Source organism: Homo sapiens, chromosome Y (genome assembly GCF_000001405.40).
Source record: "Homo sapiens chromosome Y, GRCh38.p14 Primary Assembly".
NCBI classification, from domain to species: Eukaryota; Metazoa; Chordata; class Mammalia; order Primates; family Hominidae; genus Homo; species Homo sapiens.
Genome location: NC_000024.10, coordinates 745,520 through 767,059, shown reverse-complemented (window position 1 = coordinate 767,059; position 21,540 = coordinate 745,520). Strand labels below are relative to the sequence as shown.

Genomic DNA, 21,540 nt, shown 5'->3' with positions numbered 1-21,540 from the left:
TTTCTTTCTTTCTCTTTCTTTCTTTCTTTCTTTCTTTCTTTCTTTCTTTCTTTCTTTCTTTCTTTCTTTCTTTCTTTCTTTCTTTTTTCCTTCTTTCTTTCTTTTTTTCTTTCCTTCTTCTTTCTCAGGGTCTTGCTCTGTCACCCAGGCTGGACTGCAGGGAAATGATCCTGGCTGCCTCACTGCAGCCTCCAACTCCTGGGCTTAAGTCATCCTTCTGCCTCAACTGAGTAAGAAGCTGGAACTACAGGTGCATGCCACCATGCCCGGATGTTTTTTAAAAAATTTTTATACAAAAAAAAAAAAATTAGCCAGGCATGGTGGTGGGCGCCTGTAGTCCCAGCTACTCAGGAGGCTGAGGCAGGAGAATGGCGTGAACCCGGGAGGTGGAGCTTGCAGTGAGCCAAGATCGCGCCACTGCAATCCAGCCTGAGTGACAGAGCGGTACTCCGTCTCAAAAAAAAAAAAAAAAAAAAAAAATTATAGACATGGGATCTTGCTATGTTTTCCAGGCTGCTCTCACACTCCAAGGCTCAAGCATTTTTTCTGCCTTAACTGCCTGAGCAGCTGGAACTACAGGTTTGTGCTACCATGCCTGGATAATTTTTAAAATTTTTTTATAGACATTAGGTCTTGTGATGTTTCCCAGGCTTGTCTGGAACTCCTGGGCTAAAGCAATCCTCCTGCCTTAACTGCCTGAGTAGCTGGGACTACAGGTTTGTGCTACCATGCCTGGATAATTTTTAAAATTTTTTTATAGACATGAGGTCTTGTGATGTTTCCCAGGCTTGTCTGGAACTCCTGGGCTAAAGCAATCCTCCCGCCTTAACTGCCTGAGTAGCTGGGACTACAAGTGCATGCCACCATGCCTGGGTAATTTTTTTTATAGCGATGGGGTCTTGCTATGTTGTCTAGGCTGGTCTCAAACTCCTGGGCTCAAGAGATCCTCCCACCTCAACTTTCCTTATAGCTGGAACCATAGACACTCACCACCATGCCCTGCTCATTTTAAAAAATATTTTGTGGCCGGGTGTCGTGGCTCACGCCTGTAATCCCAGCACTTTGGGAGGCCGAGGTGGGTGGATCACGAGGTCAGGAGATGGAGACCATCCTGGCTAACACAGTGAAACCCCGTCTCTACTAAAAATACAAAAAAATTAGCCGGGCGTGGTGGCGGGCACCTGTAGTCCCAGCTACTCGGGAGGCTGAGGCAGGAGAAAGGCGTGAACCCGGGAGGCGGAGCTTGCAGTGAGCCGAGATTGTGCCATTGCACTCCAGCCTGGGCGACAGAGCGAGACTCAGTGTCAAAAAATAAAATATATATATATATATATATATATATATATATATATATATATATTGTAGAGATGGAGTCTCCCTGTGTTGCCCAGGCTGGTGTCAAACTCCTGGAATCAAGTGATCCTCCCGCCTCGGTCTCCCAAAGTGTTGGGATGACAAGCGGGAGCCACCATACCCAACCTCCAAAGTTTTTTATTTTGTGTGTCTTCTGTCTGCCCCTTTCTTTCTCTCTTCCTCTCTCCAGCAGCAAATGTCTCATGTTTTTGTATTATTTTTATTATTTTGTTTATAAAATTGAGTTACAGCTTCACAATGGACCCCTCCCTGTGTTGGTTTGTCTTATTAATGGTGACTGAGTAAAACCCACCTGGCATGACAGGTGCCTGCCACCACACCTGGCTAATTTTTGTATTTTTAGTAGACACGGAGTTTCACCATGTTGGTCAGGCTGGTCTCAAACTCCTGACCCTGTGACCCACCCACCTCAGCCTCCCAAAGTGCTGGGATTACAGCCGTGAGCCACTGCACCCGGCCAAAAAAATACATTTTAGGGTAAAATATTTAGATTTCCTCCAGGTCCTGCTCTGTGTCACATAAGGGTACACCAGAGTCAGGCAGGAATTTGGTATCTTATTGCTGCCAAGAGTATGTTCTTGTGTCTTATGACCCCCTTTTTTAACCTTTATTTACCTTTTTTCAACATTAATGGTCAGCTGGGCCTAAACTCCAAGGGTGCCAGGTATAACAAGTGCTATCTGATCTCCATTTTCATCATGGCCAGCATATTAATCAGGGTTGGCTAGAGGGACAGAACTAATAGGATTGATTAATATATAAAAGCGAGTTTATTGGCCAGGTGCAATGGCTCACGCCTGTCATCCCTGCACTTTGGGAGGCTGAGACAGGTGGATCACCTGAAGTCAGGAGTTCGAGACCAACCTGACCAACATGGAGAAACCCCGTCTCTACTATAAATACAAAAAAATTAGGTGGGCGCGGTGGCACATGCCTGTAATCCCTGCACTTTGGGAGGCTGAGGCGGGTGGATCACAAGGTCAGGAGTTCGAGACCAGCCTGACCAACATGGTGAAACCCCATCTCTACTAAAAATACAAAAAATTAGCTGGGCGTGGTGGCAGGCGCCTGTAATCCCAGGTACTCCAGAGGCTGAGGCAGGAGAATCGCTTGAACCCAAGAGGCAGAGCTTGCAGTGAGCCGAGATTGCACCACTGCACTCAAGCCTGGCAACAGAGTGAGACTCCGTCTCAAAATAAAATAAAGGGGATTTTATTAGGAGAATTGACTCACCCCATCACAAGGTGAAAATCCCACAACAGGCCATCTGCAAGTTGAGAAGCCAGAAAGCCAGTGGTGAATCCCGTCCACATCCCAAAACATCAAAAGCAGGGAGGCCAACAGGGCAGACTTCGAGACCATCCTGGCTAACACGCTGAAACCCCGTCTCTACTAAAAATACAAAAAATTAGCCGTGCTTGGTGGCGGGTGCCTGTAGTCCCAGGTACTCAGGAGGCTGAGGCAGGAGAATCACTTGAACCTGGGAGGCGGAGCTTGCAGTGAGCCGAGATCGTGCCACTGCACTCCAGCCTGGGTGACAAGAGTCCCTGGCAAACCAGTGGTGCACATCCAATAGTCTAAAAACTGATGGAGCGTGATGGAGTCTATGGTCAAAGGCAGGAAGCATCCAGCGTGGGAGAAAGATGGAGGCCGGAAGACTCAGCCAGTCTAGTCCTCCCACCAACCTCTGCCTGCTTCTATCCTAGCCCAGCTGGCAGCTGATGGGATGGTGCCCACCCAGAGAGAAGGTGGGTCTGCCTCTCTCAGTCCACTGGCTCCAGTGTGAATATCCTTTGGCAAGAACCTCACAGACACAGCCTCAATGAATACTTTGCATTCTTCAATCCAATCAAGTTGACACTCAATATTCACCATCCCAGCCAGGAATCTAGTTTTTCTCTGGAGTCTCCTTGGTTAAGAGAGGGTCAGTTCAGGCCAGGCGTGGTGACTCAGACCTGTAATCCCAGCACTTTGGGAGGCCGAGGCGGGCGGATCATGAGGTCAAGAGTCCAAGACCAGCCTGACCAACATGGTGAAACCCCATCTCTACCAAAAATACAAAAATTAGCTGAGCGTGGTGGCATGTGCCAGTAGTCCCAGCTACTGGGGAGGCTGAGGCAGGAGAATCCCTTGAACCCGGGAGGCGGAGCTTGCAGCGAGCCGAGATTGTGCCACTGCACTCCAGCCTGGGTGACAGAGCAAGACTCTATCTCAAAAAAAAAAAGGTTCAATGGGTTCAAACCCTTAAGATTTCATTTTTGGCTTACACGATGACACAGAATATATTCCATCTTTAGAGAACTTCCAAGGTAATAATGCACAAATGCCTCATTCCCCTCCATCATCTGGATGTCACAATGTCTCTCACTCCACTTTTTGTCTTCCTCTTTTGTTTGTGTCTCTTCTTTTCTGCCCCTGTTTTCAGACTTATAATTAGACTGAAAACTTCTAATGCCATTTATGTATCCTCAAAAGTGATCCAAACACCTAAAACGACTGATATTCTGCCAGGCTCATCAAAGGAAAGATAATTCATGTTGGGGTTATACATTTTTCTTTTAATGATTTGATAACCATTTATGGATTAAGATTCAAAAGAATAATGACAATAAAAATCTTTTGCAGAATTCTTCTTAATTATAGAAAAAGTACTTCATAAATATTGAAATCTGTTCTTATCTGCGAATGCCCTGATTTTTCTATACTTGGACACACTCCGAACGCAATTATTTGGTGATTAATCTATTTTTTAAACTTTCTGTTCATTAGTCGTTTGATGAAAGTTTATCTAGGCAAAGATCACACAGAGTTAGTGTATAAGGAGAATAGAATATAGATCATCGTATGAACGGAAAAGGAAGACAAGAAAATGGCCTCATGCTGGCCTACTAAGGCTATATCTTTAGGGGACAAATGAATTCTCAATTTAGCATTTTGGCCACCTTCATTTTCCATCAGGAGGGATGAACACAGCTGACTCATTCATCATATAACCCCATTCATTTTCTTTCTTTCTAAAGCACTTATAAAATATAAATAGATAATGATATGTTGATAATGTAGAAAGAACAACCATTTATAATATATAATATATGATGTTATGGGTTGAAGAGGGGAATAATATATAATATTTAATGTTACAGGTTGAATAGGGGGCTCTCCAAAAAAAAAAAAATGTTGAACTCCAAAGCCCTACAACTAGGCAACGTCGTCTTATTTGGAAAGACAGTCTTTACCAATGCAGTTAAGTTAGAATGACATCATTCTGGATTAGGGTGGATCCTAAATGCAATGACAGGTGTCCTTCTAAGAGACAGAAGAGGAGACACAGACACAGAGGAGAAGGCCACGTGGAGACAGAGGCAGAGACTGGAGTGATGGGGCCTCAAGCCCAGGGATGCCTGGAGCCCCCAGGAGCTGGGAGAGGCAGGAAGGACCCTCCCCTAGAGCCTCCAGGAAGAACAAAACACAACTGCAATGGGTTGGGTGGTGACGTCCAAAAGATATGTCCATGTCCTAAGCCCAGGAACCTGGGAATGGGACCTCATTTGGAAAAAGGTTATTTGTAGATGTAATTAAGGATCTGGAGATGAGATAATCCTGGATTAGGATGGGCCCTAAATGCAATGGTAAATGTCCTTCTAAGAGACAGAAGAGGAGACACAGACACAGAGGAGAAGGCCACGTGGAGACGGAGGCAGAGACTGGAGTGAGGCGGCCACAAGCCAGGGATGCCTGGAGCACCCAGGAGCTGGGAGAGGCAGGAAGGACCCTCCCCTAGAGACTGTGGAGGGAGCACGGCCCTGAGATATCTTCATCTCAGAGTCATGGTCTCCAGGACAGAGAGAGAATAAATTTCTGTAGTTTTAAGCTCCCAGTATCTGTGAACGAGAACTTATTTGAAAATAGGGTCTTTGCAGATACAGTGAACTGAAGGAGTTTGAGATGAGGTTATCCTGGATTAGGCTGGGCCCTAAATGCAATGACAGGTGTCCTTCTAAGAGACAGAAGAGGAGACACAGACACAGAGGAGAAGGTCACATGGAGATGGAGGCAGAGACTGGAGTGATGAGGCCACAAGCCCAGGGACGCCTGGACCCCCCAGGAGCTGGGAGTGGCAGGAAGCATCCTCCCCTAAAGCCTGCAGAGGAAGTGCAATCCTGAGACACCTTCATCTCAAACTTCTGATCTCCAGAACAGAGAATATAAATATTTGTTGTTTAAGCTCCCCAGACTGTGGAAGGATGAGGGGTGGGGTGGAGAGAGGAAGAAGAACAAAAAAACAAGAAGAAGGAGAAGGAAAAGGAGGAGGAGAAGGAGGAGGAGGAGAAGGAGAAGTACGGGGAGAAGGAGGAGGAGGAGTAGGAGGAGGAGGAGAAGGAGGAGAAGGAGAAGGACAAGGAGGAGGAGGAGAAGGATGAGAAGGAGGAGGAGAAGGATGAGGAGGAGGAGAAGGAGGAGGAGGAGAAGGAGGAGAAGGAGAAGGACGAGGAGGAGGAGGAGAAGGATGAGAAGGAGGAGGAGAAGGATGAGGAGGAGGAGAAGGAGGAGGAGGAGAAGGATGAGGAGAAGGAAGAGGAGGAGAAAGAAGAGGAGGAGGAGGAGGGAAGGACGAGGAGAAGGAGAAGGAGGAGGAGAAGGAGAAGGACGAGGAGAAGGAGGAGGAGAAGGAAGAGGAGGAGAAAGAAGAGGAGGAGGAGGAGAAGGAGGAGAAGGAGGAGGAGGGAAGGACAAGGAGAAGGAGGAAAAGGAGGAAAAGGAGGAAGAGGAGGAGGAGGAGGAGAAGGAGAAGGAGGAGAAGAAGAAGAAGAAGAAGAGAGAGAAAGAGCCACATATGAGCTGGAGAGGGAACTACAGGGAGAGGCACCCACCACGTCCAGCACCTGGAGGCTGGAAAGAGCTAAGAGTGTTAGGGACATGGAAAAAGGAGCTGCAGAGTGGGCACACTGTGGGTGGGAGCCTGAGAAGTTTGCTACATCCCCATATCTGGGGCTCAAAGTCCAGGGTGGATTTATTCCATGTCCCGGGGAAGAAACAGAAGAAATTGAAGGTGAAGGTTGGAGATGGCGCTGGGCAGGTGAGCCCCAAATTGGGGCTTAGCCTGGAAGGGTTTTTGGTCTCATCTAGAAAATAACTCAAGAGTGAGCTGGTGGTGTTAGACACCAACTTTTTTTTATTATTATTATACTTTAAGTTCTGGGGTACATGGGCAGAAAGTGCAGTTTTGTTACATAAGTATACACATGACATGGCGGCTTGCTGCACCCACCAACCCATGATCTACATTAGGTATTTCTTCTAATGATATCCCTCCCCTAACCCCCCATCCCCTGACAGGCCCCAGTGTGTGATGTTCCCTTCCCTGTGTCCATGTGTTCTCATTGTTCAACTCCCACTTATGAGTGAGAACATGCAGTGTTTGGTTTCTGTTCCTATGTTAGTTTGCTGAGAATGATGGTTTCCAGCTTCATCCATGTCCCTGTAAAGGACATGAACTCATTCTTTTTGATGGCCACATAGTATTCCATGGTGTCTATGTGCCACATTTTCTTCATCCAGTCTATCATTGATGGGCATTTAGGTTGGTTCCAAGTCTTTGCTATTGTGAACAGTGCCGCAATAAAGACACGCATGCATGCGTGTTTATAGTGGAATGATTTATAATCCTTTGGGTGTGTACCCAGTCATGGGATTGCTGGGTCAAATGCTATTTCTGGTTCTAGATCCTTGAGGAATTGCCACGCTGTCTTCCACGGTGGTTGAACTAATTGACAGTCCCACCAACTGTTATGAAGTGGCAGTTCACAGCAGCAGCAGAGGTGCTGGTCTTTGCAGAGCAGGCTTACCCATGGGCACTGAGTCCAGAGTAGCAGCTCAGAGGCAGTTCCACAATCATATTTATCAATGCTTCCAATTACATGCAAATTAAGGGGCAGGTTTTGCAGTAATTTCTAGAAAAAAAATATACCCCCTTCTGGGTCATTGGGTCATTGCCATGGAAAGGAGCAGTAACATCTGGGTGTTGTCATGGAAATGGGACCAGGTGGGTGTGTCTTATTGTATTTGTAGCATGACATGGTACTGGTGGGTGTGTCCTTTCGTATTTGTCTGTTCTCATGCTGCCAATAAAGACATATCCAAGACTGCATAATTTATACAGGAAAGAGGTTTAATGGACTTACACTTCCACTTGGCTGGGGAAACCTCACGATCATCGCGCAAGAGCAAGGGACTTCTTACATGGCGGCAGGCAAGAAGAGAATGAGAACCACATGAAACAGATTTACCCTTCTAAAACCATCAGATCTCATGAGACTTATTCACTTCCACAAGAACAGTATGGGGGAACTGCCTCCATGATGAAATTATCTTCCACAACACATGGGAATTATGGGAGCTACAATTCGAGATGAGATTTGGGTAGGGACACAGCCAAACCACATCACTAATGGAGAGCTGCTTCTGCCCTAGACCTGCTTTAGCTAGTCCTCAACCTGGTCCAGTGTCTTAGCCCTGCCTCTGCGGTCATGTCCTGCTTCCTACCTTAGAGGCATGAGAATGACGTAATTTGACTTCAAAGAATATTAGCTGCTACGTGGAGAATGACTGGAAGAAGTCAAGGATGGGAGTTGAGGAGCACTTTGGGAAGCTGCCGTCTCGGTAGAGAGCATGTGGTGGCTGAAGCTTCAATGAGGGTAGCAGCATCCCAGGGAGAAGGGGAGGGAAAGCTAATGTGGACCTTTAATAATGCTTCTAGCTGCAGCCTCTACCTGAGATCATCTGTATCTGAGTCCTACACACTTCATTCTCAGCATTGTCTGGGTGTGCACGGTTCTACATTCACCCTGGGTGAAGACATCTATGACCCATAGGGAAGATCACCTGGATGCTTTCTTTTTTCTTTTTCTTTTCGTTTTTTTGTTTTTAAGACTGAATCTCACCAGGCGCAGTGGCTCACGCCTGTCATCCCAGCACTTTGGGAGGCACAGGTGGGCAGATCACAAGGTCAGGAGATCAAGACCATCCTAGCTGACACGGTAAAACCCCATCTCTACTAAAAGTACAAAAAATTAGCCGGGCTTGGTGGTGGGCACCTTTAGTCCCAGCTACTTGGGAGGCTGAGGCAGGAGAATGGCGTGAACCCGGGAGGTGGAGGTTGCAGTGAGCCGAGATCGCGCCACTGCACTCCAGCTGGGGGACAGAGTGAGATTCTGTCTCAAAAAAACAAAAACAAAAACAAAAACAAAAAAACAAAACTGAATCTCACTCTGTTGCTCAGGCTGGAGTACACTGACATGATCTCAGCTCACTGAAACCTCCACCTCCTGGGTTCAAGCAATTCTCTTGCCTCAACCTCCCCAGTAGCTGGGACTGCAGGTGCACACCACCAATCCCAGCTCATTTTTTTTTGTATTTTTAGTAGAGACAGGGTTTCACCATGTTGTCCAGGCTGGTCTTGATCTCCTAGCCTCAAGTGATCCACCCACCTCGGCCTCCCAAAGTGCTGGGATCAAGGTATGAGCCACTGCACCCAGCCAAAGATGCTTTAAGGTCGAGGTAACAAGGACTGTATCTACATATGATAAACCCAAGAATACTCCCTGGAAACTGGGCCAAAGAATCCATCATGGGAAGGATGTGATGTGGCCCCAGCAAAACATGGCTGGGTTTTTGTTGTACTCAGGTGAAGTTTCGGTTGTGAGCCATACCAGGAAAAGATATGGAGACATCAGATCTCATGCAGAGGAGGACAGGTCAAGTGTATTGAGTCCCTAGTCCTGTGTAGGATCTGGGCTGATGACGCCCTCCTCACCTTATAGATTCCTCACAACAGGGAGATTCCAGAAAACAGCCTTAGATATCAGCAAACTTCCCTTGACAATGTACTATATCACTCTCACCCTACAAAGTCCCTTTTGGTGACAGACACACTTAAGGTCATCTCCATGAACCATGGCAAAATAAGTGGTTAAATTTTCTCAGATGCGTTTCTGCTACCTTGATATGGATGTAGGTTGAGTACCCTAATCTCACTAAATGCTGTCTAGAGAGTGAATCTCCACAACTTTCATCTGCATAAGAAAGATATCTTATGATATGCTAATGATAAAGGTGGAATCCTTAATGAGTATTACAATTAAGGACAAATAATTAAATGCTTACCTTTTTTGGATTCTTTGAACATCAGCCTCAAAGCTGTCTGCACTGATAAAATATGGCATAGAAAAGACAGCTAGTTCTTCTCTTCCTGATATTTTGGCTTCAGTGACTATTTTGGGGGGCTCTGGGACTGTCCAACTCTACAGTGTTGTGGCCAAATTGGAAGAGTGGAATGAAAATGCAGGCTCTGGGCTGATGAGACCATTTTCACTTCATCTATTCCTCACACAGGGAAGGACAGGTCAAGTGTATTGAGGTCCTGATCCTGTGGAGGCTCTGGGCTGGTGAGACCTTTCTCATTTCATATATTCCTCACATGAGGAAGGAGAGGCCAAGCATATTGAGGTCCTTGTCTGGTGCAGGCTCTGGGCTAATGAGAACCTCTCACTTCATATCTTCCTCACACAGGGAAGGAGGGGCCAAGTGTATTGAGGTCCTGGTCCTGTGCAGGCTCTGGGCTGGTGACACCCTCGTGTCTTCATCTATTCCTCACATGAGGAGGGAGAAGTCAAGTGTATCGAGGTCCTAGTCATGTGTAGGTTCTGTGCTGGTGACACCCTCATCACTTCATGTATTCCTCACACAGGGAAAGAGTGGTCAAGTGTATTGAGGTCCTGGTCCTGGGCAGGCTCTGGGGTGGTGACACCCTCCTCACTTCATGTATTCTTCACACAGGGAAAGAGTGGTCAAGTGTATTGAGGTCCTGGTCCTGGGCAGGCTCTGGAGTGGTGACACCCTCATGACTTCATCTATTCCCCAGATGGGGAAGGAGAAGTCAAGTGTATTGAAGTCCTAGTCATGTGCAGGCTCTGGGCTGATGACACCCTCGTGACTTCATATATTCCTCACACAGGGAAAGAGTGTTAAAGTGTATTGAGGTCCTCATCCTGTGCAGACTGTGGGCTGGTGACACCCTCGTGACTTCATCTATTCCTCACATGGGGAAGGAGAAGTCAAGTGTATTGAGGTCCTGGTCCTGTGGAGGTTGTGGGCTGATGAGACCCTCGTCACTTCATCTATTCCTCACATGAGGAGGGAGAAGTCAAGTGTATTGAGGTCCTAGTCATGTGTAGGCTCTGGGCTGGAGACACACTTGTCACTTCATATATTCCTCACACAGGGAAAGAGTGGACAAGTGTATTGAGGTCCTCATCCTGTGCAGGCTCTGGGCTGGTGAGATTCCTCCTCACTTCATATATTCCTCACACAGGGAAAGAACGGTCAAGTGTGTTGAGGTCCTAGTCCTGTGCAGGTTCTGAGCTGGTGAGACTCCCCCTCATTTCATGGGTTCCTCACTCAGGGAATGAGAGGTCAAGTGCATTGAAGTCCTGGTCCTGTGCAGGCTGTGGGCTGGTGACACCCTTTCTACTTCATGAACTCATCACAGCAAGGAAGCAGTCTATTAAGGTAAAGTGTATTAAGTTCATAGTCCTGTACAGGTTGACCTGACCCTGTTTATATCATTTACTTCTCACAGATGACTTTATCAACCCTGGGTCACCTACGGTCCTGGGATTAACTCCACTACGGGTTGTTCCTTTCACCTCTCTACACCCTCAGAACACCTACCCCTGCTCTTCTCAATGACAGAGGAATTTCAGAGGCAGTTCAGCCACCAATAATCCATACACAAACAAGGTGACCTTTCAACTTCTTACATGTAATACCTTGAAGAAGAATGGAATTAATTATATTTCAGTGAAAATGACATTGTCCTGGACACTGTAAAAGTAGGCTGGGTGCAGCGGCTCACGCCTGTAATCCCAGCATTTTGGGAGGCCGAGGTGGGTGGATCATTTGAGGTCAGGAGTTCGAGACCAGCCTGGCCAACATGGTGAAACCCCATCTCTACTAAAAATACAAAAGTTAGCTCGACATAATGGTGCACACCTGTAATCCCAGCTACTTGGGAGGCTGAGGCAGGAGAATGGCGTGAACCCGGGAGATGGAGGTTGCAGTGAGCCAAGATCGTGCCACTGCACTCCTGCCTGGGCAACAGAGCTAGACTCCGTCTCAAAAAAAAAAAAAAAAAAAAAAAAAAAAAAAAAAAAGAATTGCCACTTGCCACTCCTGCGTATGACATTTTTTTGTTTTGTTTTTTTTTTTTTTGAGACAGAGTCTCACTCAGTCCCACAGGCTAGAGTGCAGTGGTGCGATCTTGGCTCACTGCAAGCTCCACTCCCAGGTTCACACCATTCTCCTGCCTTAACCTCCTGAGTAGCTGGGACTACAGGTGCCCGCCACCACGCCCAGCTAATTTTTTGTATTAGTAGAGATGGGGTTTCACCGTGTTAGCCAGGATGGTCCCAATCTCCTGACCTCGTGATCCGCCCGCCTCGGCCTCCCAAAGTGCCGGATTACAGGCATCAGCCACCCCACCCGGCCTGTCCACTGTTATCTAAACAGACTCACAGCTGCTTTTGAGCACCCTGCCCTATAGCAAAATCAAACAAACAAAAAATAATCCATCTCTAAATGCTATTCTAACCCATCTCTAAATTCTATTCTATCTGTCCTGCCTACAGGTAGAATATAATTTAGACCCAGGCTGGGTGCAGTGGTTCACGCCTGTTAGTCCCAGCACTTTGAGAGCCCGAGACAGGTGGATTGCTTGAACCCAGCCTGAATGACACACACAAAAACACCCAACTCTACCAAAAATACAAAACTTAGCCAGGCGTGGTGGCGGGCACCTGTGATCCCAGCTACTCAGGAGGCTGAGGCAGGAGCCCAGGGGGCAGAGGTTGCAATGAGCCGAGGCTGTACCACGGCAGTCCAGCCAGAGTGATAGAGCGAGGCCCTGCCTCAAAAAGAAAAAAAAAAGGAAAAAAGAATAGAATTTAGGCCTGGACAGACACTCTGTCCAGGTCTAAATGTCTACTCTTCCAACTGTAGAGTTGAGGGTACTTTTTGTACCACTCAGCCTGGATTCAAGCAATGCACCTGCCTCAGCCTCCCAAAGTGCTGGGACTGCAGGCATGAACCACTGCACCCAGCCTGGGTCTAAATTCTATTCTATCTGTCCTCCCTACAGTTACAATCAAAGTTAGAGATGGGTTACAATAGAACTTGGAGGCCGGGCGTGGTGGCTCACGCCTGTCATCCCAGCACTTTGGGAGGCCGAGGCGGGCGGATCACTTGAGGTCGGAAGTTCAAGATCAGCCTGGTCAACATGGCGAAAACCCGTCTCTACTAAAAATACCAAAAATTAGCCGGGCCTGGTGGTGGGCGCCTGTAGTCCCAGGTACTCGGGAGGCTGAGGCAGGAGAATTGCTTGAACCCGGGAGGCGGAGGTTGCAGTGAGCCGAGATCGCACCACTGCACTCCAGCCTGGGGGACAGAGAGTGAGACTCTGCCTCAAAAAATAATAATAATAATAAAAATATAGAATTTGGAGGTGGGTCATTTTCTCCAGGGCAGCTAGTCAAGCTGGTAGATACTGCTAGCTCGGCCTCGAGGTAGTTCAGGAGCTGGCAGTTAAGTCTCAGCTCCTGGACCGGGATGTAACCCCCTCTTAGTCCTGGTGTTCGGTCTCAGCTCCTGGCTGAGTTAATTGCTAGCAGGTTTACGAAGCATCTAATTGAACTGGACATCTCCGTGAGCTCTAACCGCCAGGCCGTTGCAAGACGTCCCGGACATAAGGCAGCCTGCAGGTTATTTAGTACGTGTGAGGACTTTGCATTTTTCTTTACCTTCCATGTGAAAATAGTTAACCGCAGTGAAACGTCCCAGCCCTGCACTTTGCAAAATGGTGAAATTAAGTTTTCCACGGAGCAGCCCGGGAAACAGAGTCTTCATTGATTCCGCAGAAAGAAACTTGTTCGTATTCAACAACGATAACCTTTTAGAAGGTTTCGAAAGCAAATCTGACACCCCATTAAAAGGCAAATGATTTTTTTTTCTCTCCACACAAGAAAAAGAAACGTTTAAAACACAGAAGGCTATTAATAAATAATGGGGCTCTTTTTTTTTTTTAATATAGGAAACCCTGACATCAAAGGGAAGCCGTAAACTGTATCGGAGGCGGCGTGTCGGACCCCGTGCCTTAATTGTCAAGGCAGCGAGGGTCTTGTTTTTATTAGTTGCGCAAAAGATATTTTATTGAATGTCAGGTTGTAATTTGATTTTAAAAGGAATAGAAAAAAGATGACATTTTCGAGTGCATAACACTGCAAAAAAAAAAAAAAAAGAGAGAGAGAAAAACTCTATTCACTCTAAATGCTAACTGCCACACAGAAAAATGCCATTACTCCAGAGAAATCTCTGCACCAGAAACCGTGAGCATTTTCAACGTACGCAGATACCGTCCCTCACTCATGTTCTGTGACAGTGGCCATCCTTAAAACAAGAATTAAAAAAAAGAATGGCGTATTTTGTATTCCCAAGGGGAGAATTTGCTAGAATTGCAAAGAAAAATGTACCTGCACCCGTGACTGTAGGATTTGCTTTTTGTAGACATCATTTATTCATACGTTAAGGTTTTTTTCTTTTTTGCAAACTTCCCTTCCAGAGAAACAGATTCAACAGGGGAAAGATAGGCCAAGCATGGTGGCTCACGTCTGTCATCCCAGCAGTTTGGGAGGCCCAGGTGGGTGGATCTCCTGAGCTCAGGAGTTCGAGACCATCCTGGCCAACATGGAGAAACCCCGTCTCTACTAAAAATACAGACATTACCTGGGCATGGTGGCGGGTGCCTGTAATCCCAGCTACTTGGGAGGCTGAGGCAGGAGAATCGCTTGAACCCTGGAGGCAGAGGTTGCAGTGAGCCGAGATGGCACCACTGCCCTCCAGCCTGGGCGACAGAGCAAGAATCTGTCTCAAAATAAATACGTAAATAAATCAATAAGAAGAAATTAATGTACTGACATGGTAAAGTCAAAACAAGAACTTGGCCTCTTGGTGTCCCGTGAAGGACTCTGAACGCCTTGATGATCCACAAGTGATAAGGAAGAGACGAAAACGAGACAGATCGAACTCTCCCAAAAATACAAAACTTAGCCGGGCATGGTGGTTCACGCACCTGTAATCCCTGCTACTTGGGAGGCTGAGGCAAGAGGATCGCCTGAGCCCAGGAGGCAGAGGTTGCAGTGAGCCGAGGTTGTAACACAGCAGTCCAGCCAGAGTGACACAGTGAGGCCCTGCCTCAAAAAAAAAAAAGAGGAAAAAAGAATAGAATTTAGGCCTGGACAGACATTCTGTCTGTACTAAATGTCTATACTCCCAACTGTAGATTGTAAATGTCTATACAAGTGTAGAGTTGGGGTCTTTGTGTATCACTCAGGCTGGATGCAAGCAATGCACCTGCCTCACCCTTCCAAAGTGCTGGGACTGCAGACATGAACCCCTGCACCCAGCCTGGGTCTAAATTCTATTCTATCTGTCCTCCGTACTTTTGCACCTGCTCAATAGGAATTCCCTGGCTGGCATTCTGAAATGGCTCAGAAAAGAGGGTCGTCCCAGCTCCGTGGGGCAATTGTCTTCTTGGCCGTGAAGTCCCTGGAAGGCTAACGCCCACACACACACAGCACCTGGAGTGGACGGGGTGTGCCTTTGGGGCTAACTTTGGCCTTCTGCCCACAGATGTGGGAGTTCATCTCTCAAACCGAATGGACATTTTTGTCCTTCTCATCTTTCTTCTGCGTTGTTAGAGTTGACTTCCCTGAGTGTGGAATGGAATTAAGCATGTGTTGCCTCTTTAGCTGGGTTCATGGAGGGGCTCTGATTCTCCATAGACCCCAAAAAGAGCTATATACCTTGTCTGCCCATGTGTTGACCACTCCCCGGAAACCAACAGGAGAGAGGACCACCAAGTCAAAACCAACCAGCTCTCCAAGGGGATCCTCGATTAGCGATCACCACCTGCCCCAAGGGGCTCCTTTACCTTAGTAGATAATTCCAAGAATGCTGCTGTGATGGTCATTTTCCTCTTTCACGTGCTTCTGCTATATCCAAATACATATATTTGGTAACAGGATTTTAAAAAATATATTTTAATATAAATTTATTTATTGTATACTTTTATTTAATATTTATATGAAGGAATAAATTTATTTAAATAAAGTTATTCCTTCATATAAATATTAAATATTAGTGTAATATATATTAATGAATAAATTTATTTAAATTTATTCCTTCATATAAATATTAAATATTTGTGTAATATATATTAACGAATAAATTTATTTAAATTTATTCTTCATATAAATATTAAATATTTGTGTAATATATAAATGAATAAATTTATTTAAATTTATCCCTTCATATAAATATTAAATATTTGTGTAATATATAATTAATAAATTTAATTCCTTAATAAAAATATTAAATATTTGTGTAAGATATAAATGAATAAATTTATGTAAATTAATTCATTAAGATAAATATTAAATAAATATTTGTGTAATATTTATATTAATGAATAAACATTTGTTTAACATTTATATTTAGTAAATTTATTTATTTAATATTTATATTAAATATATTAAATAAAAATTATTTGGGCTGGGCGTGGTGGCTCAAACCTGTAAGATTCCAGCACTTTGGGAGGCCGAGGTGGGTGGATCATGAGGTCAGAAGTTCGAGACCAGCCTGGCCAACATGGCGAAATCCTGTCTCTACTAAAAATACAAAAATTAGCAGGGCATGGCGGCAAGAGCCTGTAATCCCAGCTACTCAGGACGCTGATGCAGGAGAATCGCTTGAACCGGGAGGCGGAGGTTCAGTGAGCTGAGATAAAGCCACTGCACTTCAGCCTGGGTGACAGAGTAAGACACAGTCTCAAAAAAAAAAACAAAAAAAAAAAAAAAAGAAAAAAAAAAAGAAAAGAAAAGAAAGAAAAAAGAAAAAAGAAACCAGGAGTGGCTGAGTCACTACGAAGCATTCCTCCAACACCAGTTAGACCAGAGGTGGGCAAATCTTTTAAGTGAAGAGCCAGATAGTCAATATTTTCAGTTTTGTGGACCACACAGTCTGCCATGCAAGGATTTAGCTCTGCCCTTGTGGCAGGAAAGCAGCCACAGACGGTGTGCACAAGAATGTGTGTGTGACCATGTTTCAATAAAACTTTATTGACAGTAACGTGCAGGGGGCCGGATTGGCTTCGTTTGCAACACCCCCAATATGCTGGGTTATACTAAACTGTGAACCACTCCAACATTCTGCATCTGATCCTCAATGTATCTCTTTCACCTCTGCACTGCCCCAGCCCTTGGCAATGAATACAGTATCTTCTCACTGTTAAGATTCTGCCAGATATTTATTAATTTTGTTTAAAGAATCAGCCAATTGTGGTGGTTCATGCCTGTAATCCCAGCACTTTGGTAAACCAAAGCAGGAGGATTGCTTAAGGCCAGGAGTTTGAGGCCAGCCTGGGCAATATATAGCAAGACCCCATCTGCACAGAAAAAAAATTAAAAATTAGCCAGGCATGGTGGTGTGTGCCTGTGGTCTCAGCTGCTTTGGAGGCTGAGGTGGGAGGATCGCTTGAGCCCAGGAGGTCGAGGCTACAGTGAGCCATGATTGCACCAGTGCACTCCAGCCTGGGTGACAGAGTAAGACCTTGTCTCATAAAATAAAATAAAATAAAATATAAAATAAAATAAAATAACTTGATACGCCTGTTTCCCGCTGAACAAATTCATCTGTCTATCTTTCTTTCCTTCTTTCTTTTTTCTTTCTTCCTTTCTGTTTCTTTATTTTTCTTTCTTTTTTTTGAGACAGAGTCTTGCTCTGTCACCAGGCTGGAGTGCAGTGGCGTGATCTCAGCTCACTGCAACCTCTGCCTCCAGGGTTTAAGCGATTCTCCTGCCTCAGTCTCCCGAATAGCTGGGACTACAGGCACCAGCCATCATGCCCGGCTAATTTTTGTATTTTTATTAGAGATGGGGTTTCACCATGTTGGCCAGGATGGTCTCAATCTCTTGACCTCGTGATCCACCTGCCTCGGCCTCCCAAAGTGCTGGGATTACAGGCGTGAGCCACCACGCCCAGTCCCTTCCTTCCTTCCTTTCTTTTTTCTTTCTCTCCCTTTGTTTGTCTTTCTTTCTTTCTTTCTTTTTCTTTCTTTCTTTCTTTCTTTCTTTCTTTCTTTCTTTCTTTCTTTCTTTCTTTCTTTCTTTCTTTTTCTTCCTTTCTCTTTCCTGCTTGCTTGCTTGCTTGCTTTTCTTTTTCTTTCTTTCTTTCTTTCTTTCTTTCTTTCTTTCTTTCTTTCTTTCTCTCTGTGTCTCTTTCTTCTTTTTCTTTATTTCTTCTTTCTCTTTATTTTTTCTCTCTTTTTTCTCTTTCTTTCCTTCTTTCTTTCTTTCTCTTTCTTTTTTCCATCTTTCTGTCTGTCTCTTTTTTATGAATATAAAGACCTCTTTTTTTGAAAGAAGTCAAATCTGGGACTTCTGTATTACCATAACGACATAGATAATCACATTTTGTTCTGTTTCAGTGTTTTGTGCTAAAAATACCCCAGCTGCCCTATTTAATGAGGAAATGCAGCAGTGATCAATACTGATGTATTTCCGGAACAATGTGTTCAGGGCCTCAAGGAGCCTGGTTAATTTTAGGCACTAACAAATGAATAGAACATGTTCCAGTTAACTTAGTAGCAGCTTGGACCCAATACTTCAAGCCACAGGAGTTATTATAATCAGCATCTTTCTCTCTCTAATGCCAATAAGTGGCTATTCCAGGATACAATTTTCTGAAAAATCAAGCTGATGAGAACAGAAGCTACGACCACCACCTACGTGGGCACTCGTACCTGGGACATGATGAGTCATAGGATGTAGGCAATTGGTACCAGTTAGCCAGCATCCTTCTAGCAGGTGCCATGTGCTATTTTGATACAGTCATTATGTAAAAAAAAAAAAAGAAAAAAAAACTTATGGCTAGAAAATATCATCCACACACCTATTCTTTCTGGAAATGTCTGCCTTCTCATCTGGTATCCCTGCCTTTTCTTTTTGTTGTTGTTGTTTTTGGATAGTTTGTTTGTTTGTTTGTTTTTGAGACAGAGTCTCACTCTCTCACCTAGGCTGGAGTGCACTGGAGTCATCTCGGCTCACTGCAACCTCCACCTCCCAGGTTCAAGCGATTCTCATGCTTCAGCCTCCCAAGTAGCTGGGATGACAGGCGCCCACCACCACACTTGGCTTATGTTTGTATTTTTTTTAGTAGAGACGGGGTTTCACCATATTGGCCAGGCTAGTCTTGAACTCCTGAACTTGCGATCCACCTGCCTCGGCCTCCCAAAGTGCTGGGATTACAGGCATGAGCCACGTGTGCCCGACTGGACATTCACTATTTTTTTTTTTTTTTTGAGATGGAGTTTCACTCTTGTTGCCCAGGTTAGAGTGCAATGGTGGGATCTCGGCTCTCTGAACCTCCACCTTCCAGGTTCAAGTGATTCTCCTGCCTCAGCCTTCTGAGTAGCTGGGATTACAGGCACCTGCCACAACACCTGGCTAATTTTGTATTTTTTTAGTAGAGACAGGGGTTCACCATGTTGGTGAGGCTGATCTCGAACACCTGACCTCAGGTGATCCACCTGCCTCGGCCTCCCAAAGTGGTGGGATTACAAGCATGAGCCATGTGTGCCTGACTGGACATTCACTTTTTTTTTTTTTGAGATGGAGTTTCGCTCTTGCTGCCCAGATTAGAGGGCAATGGCGGGATCTCGGCTCTCTGAACCTCCGCCTCCCGGGTTCAAGCGATTCTCCTGCCTCAGCCTTCCGAGTAGCTGGGATTACAGGCACCTGCCACAACACCCGGCTAATTTTGTATTTTTTTGGTAGAGACAGGGGTTCACCATGTTGGTGAGGCTGGTCTTGAACACCTGACCTCAGGTGATCCACCTGCCTCGGCCTCCCAAAGTGCTGGGATTACAGGCATGAGCCATGGTGCCTGGCCTATCCCTGCCTTTTCTGAGGTCCCCCAAACAATGTGGCATTAAGGATTTTTATATCTGTCATCAATGAGAAATACAACTATAATTACAAGAGAGGTGGCCTCTTTGGTGGGCTTGGAAACAGCCTATGCTCACTGCCTGCAGGGGCAGGTGCTTGCATTAGTTTTGTTTAGGCTGCCCATGACAGGGGACTACAGACTGGGTGGGTTAAACCAGGGTCTCCCAACCCTTGCGCCACAGATTGCTACTAGTCAGTGGCTTCTGAAGAACCAGGTGCCACAGCAGGAGGTGAGCAGTGGACAAGCAAGCAAAGCTTCATCTGTGTTCCCAGCCACTCCCCATCTCTCCCATTACAGCTTGAGCCCCACCTCCTGTCAGATCAGCAGCAGAGGCATTTGATGCTCATAGGAGCACAAACCCTACTGTGAACCGTGCATGTGAGGGATCTAGATTTCACTGCATGCTCCTGATGAGAATCAATACCTGATGCTCTACTGTGTCTCCCATCACCCCCACAGGGGACAATCTAGTTGCAGGTAAACAAGCTCAGGGCACCCACCGATGCTACATTATGCTGAGATGGATAATTATTTCATTATATATTACAATGCAATGATAATAGAAATAAAGTACACAATCAATGTAATGCACGTGAATCATCCCCAAACCAGACCCCCTCCCCAGTTCGTGGAACAATTGTCTTCCGTGAAAGTGGTCCTTGGTGCCAAAAAGGCTGGGGACCGCTGGGTTAAACAGCAGACATTTATTTTCTCGTGGTTCTGGAGGCTGGAAGTCTGAGATCAAGGTGTGGACAGGGCAGACTCAGTGTCTGGTGAGGGCTCTCTTTCTGGTCTGCAAACGGCTGCCTTCTTGCTGTGTCCTCACACAGTGGAGACAGAGAGAGAAAGAGAGAGAGAGACAGAGAGAGTTCTGGGGTCTCTTCCCCTTCTCATAAGGACACAAATACCCCTATATCAGCGGCCCCCCAACCTTTTTGGTACCAGGGACCAGTTTCCTGGAAGACTAGTTTTCCATGAAATGGGGGTTGGGGAGGTGACTTTGGGATGATTCAAACACATTACATCTATCTATCTATCTATCTATCTATCTATCTATCTATCTATCTATCATCTATCTATCTGTCTATCATCTATGTGTCTATTATCTATCATCTATCTATCTATCTATCTATCTATCTATCTATCTATCTATCTATCATCTATCTCTGCCTGCCTATCTATCCGTCATCTATCTATCTAGATATCTATCTATTGATTTTTCTATCTGTCTGTCTGTCTATCTATCCTATCACCAATCTTCCCTGGAGTAAGATGCTCTGAGCACCCAGCAACCTTCCTGCTGCCAAGTGGGTCTCCAGATGCATTTGGAGAAGAAAAAACAGCCAAACATAGAATGTGGTTAGCTCTGGTAATTATTTCAGAAAGCATGGACACAAACCCTTCCATAGACTCATAGCTGCTAGGGAGGGAGAACTGCTGCTACCCCTGGCTGTAATTTTAAAATACCCATGAAAAACCAGAGGAGAAAACTGACTTCTCACCCATAACCCCATAGCAGTCATTCTTCTGAAGATACCAGCATATTTGCAAGCTTCTTGTCCAAATCAGGAAGAGCGAGGAAGACTATACTCAAGGGTTTTTTTACTCATTGGCTTAGTCAAGATTATTTTATCAGATTCTGTTTGTAGTACAGCAAAACCTCAAGATACAAGTGGGACAAGTGGGAGGAGGAAAAAGGAAGATGAGGAAAGGGGAACCATCATGTGGGCAGAAGCTGGGATGGCTCCAGGCGAAGGTGGTTTCAGGGGATAACTGCCACCAGCAATGGAGGTGGACGATGCAGAAGACAGTACCCCTCACCCCTTGAGTTCTGTTTTGCAAAGGGCTGATAGTTTTACTCAATTTAAGAATGGGAAATAGCCAGTCTTGCTCTGGATGAGGATGAGGAGGGTGGATCACGAGGTCAGGAGTTAGAGACCAGCCTGGCCAACATGGTGAAAGCTTGTCTCTACTAACCTCTCAACCTTCCTTACACTCTTATCCATCCACCTCCACGAACACTCCCAAAGAAAAAAGCGATGGGTCTCTTCT

The 21,540-nt window shown here is 45.6% G+C and overlaps 5 annotated features.

Moving 5' to 3' along the window:
* Positions 230 to 396: a silencer, noted in NCBI's record as "fragment chrX:727399-727565 (GRCh37/hg19 assembly coordinates)". NCBI's record gives its function as "represses an EF-1alpha promoter that drives an FKBP-Casp9 reporter gene in an ReSE screen in K562 erythroleukemia cells {active_cell/tissue: K562}" and the evidence as "EXISTENCE:reporter gene assay evidence [ECO:0000049][PMID:32094911]".
* Positions 13,042 to 13,711: an enhancer, noted in NCBI's record as "CNE4 PCR-amplified transgene fragment". NCBI's record gives its function as "enhancer in day 2 and day 3 zebrafish embryo fin, cardiovascular system, brain, skin, muscle, notochord and ear" and the evidence as "EXISTENCE:transgenic organism evidence [ECO:0001131][PMID:21731768]".
* Positions 13,056 to 13,710: an enhancer, noted in NCBI's record as "CNE4 PCR-amplified reporter construct fragment". NCBI's record gives its function as "enhancer in ovo in chicken limb buds, and in human U2OS osteosarcoma cells" and the evidence as "EXISTENCE:reporter gene assay evidence [ECO:0000049][PMID:17200153, PMID:26631348, PMID:22791839]".
* Positions 13,325 to 13,424: an enhancer, noted in NCBI's record as "CRCNE00011095 PCR-amplified transgene fragment". NCBI's record gives its function as "enhancer in day 2 and day 3 zebrafish embryo skin, with some activity in fin, muscle and heart" and the evidence as "EXISTENCE:transgenic organism evidence [ECO:0001131][PMID:21731768]".
* Positions 13,346 to 13,431: a conserved region, noted in NCBI's record as "conserved region; CRCNE00011095 more deeply conserved sub-region". NCBI's record gives the evidence for it as "EXISTENCE:sequence alignment evidence [ECO:0000200][PMID:21731768]".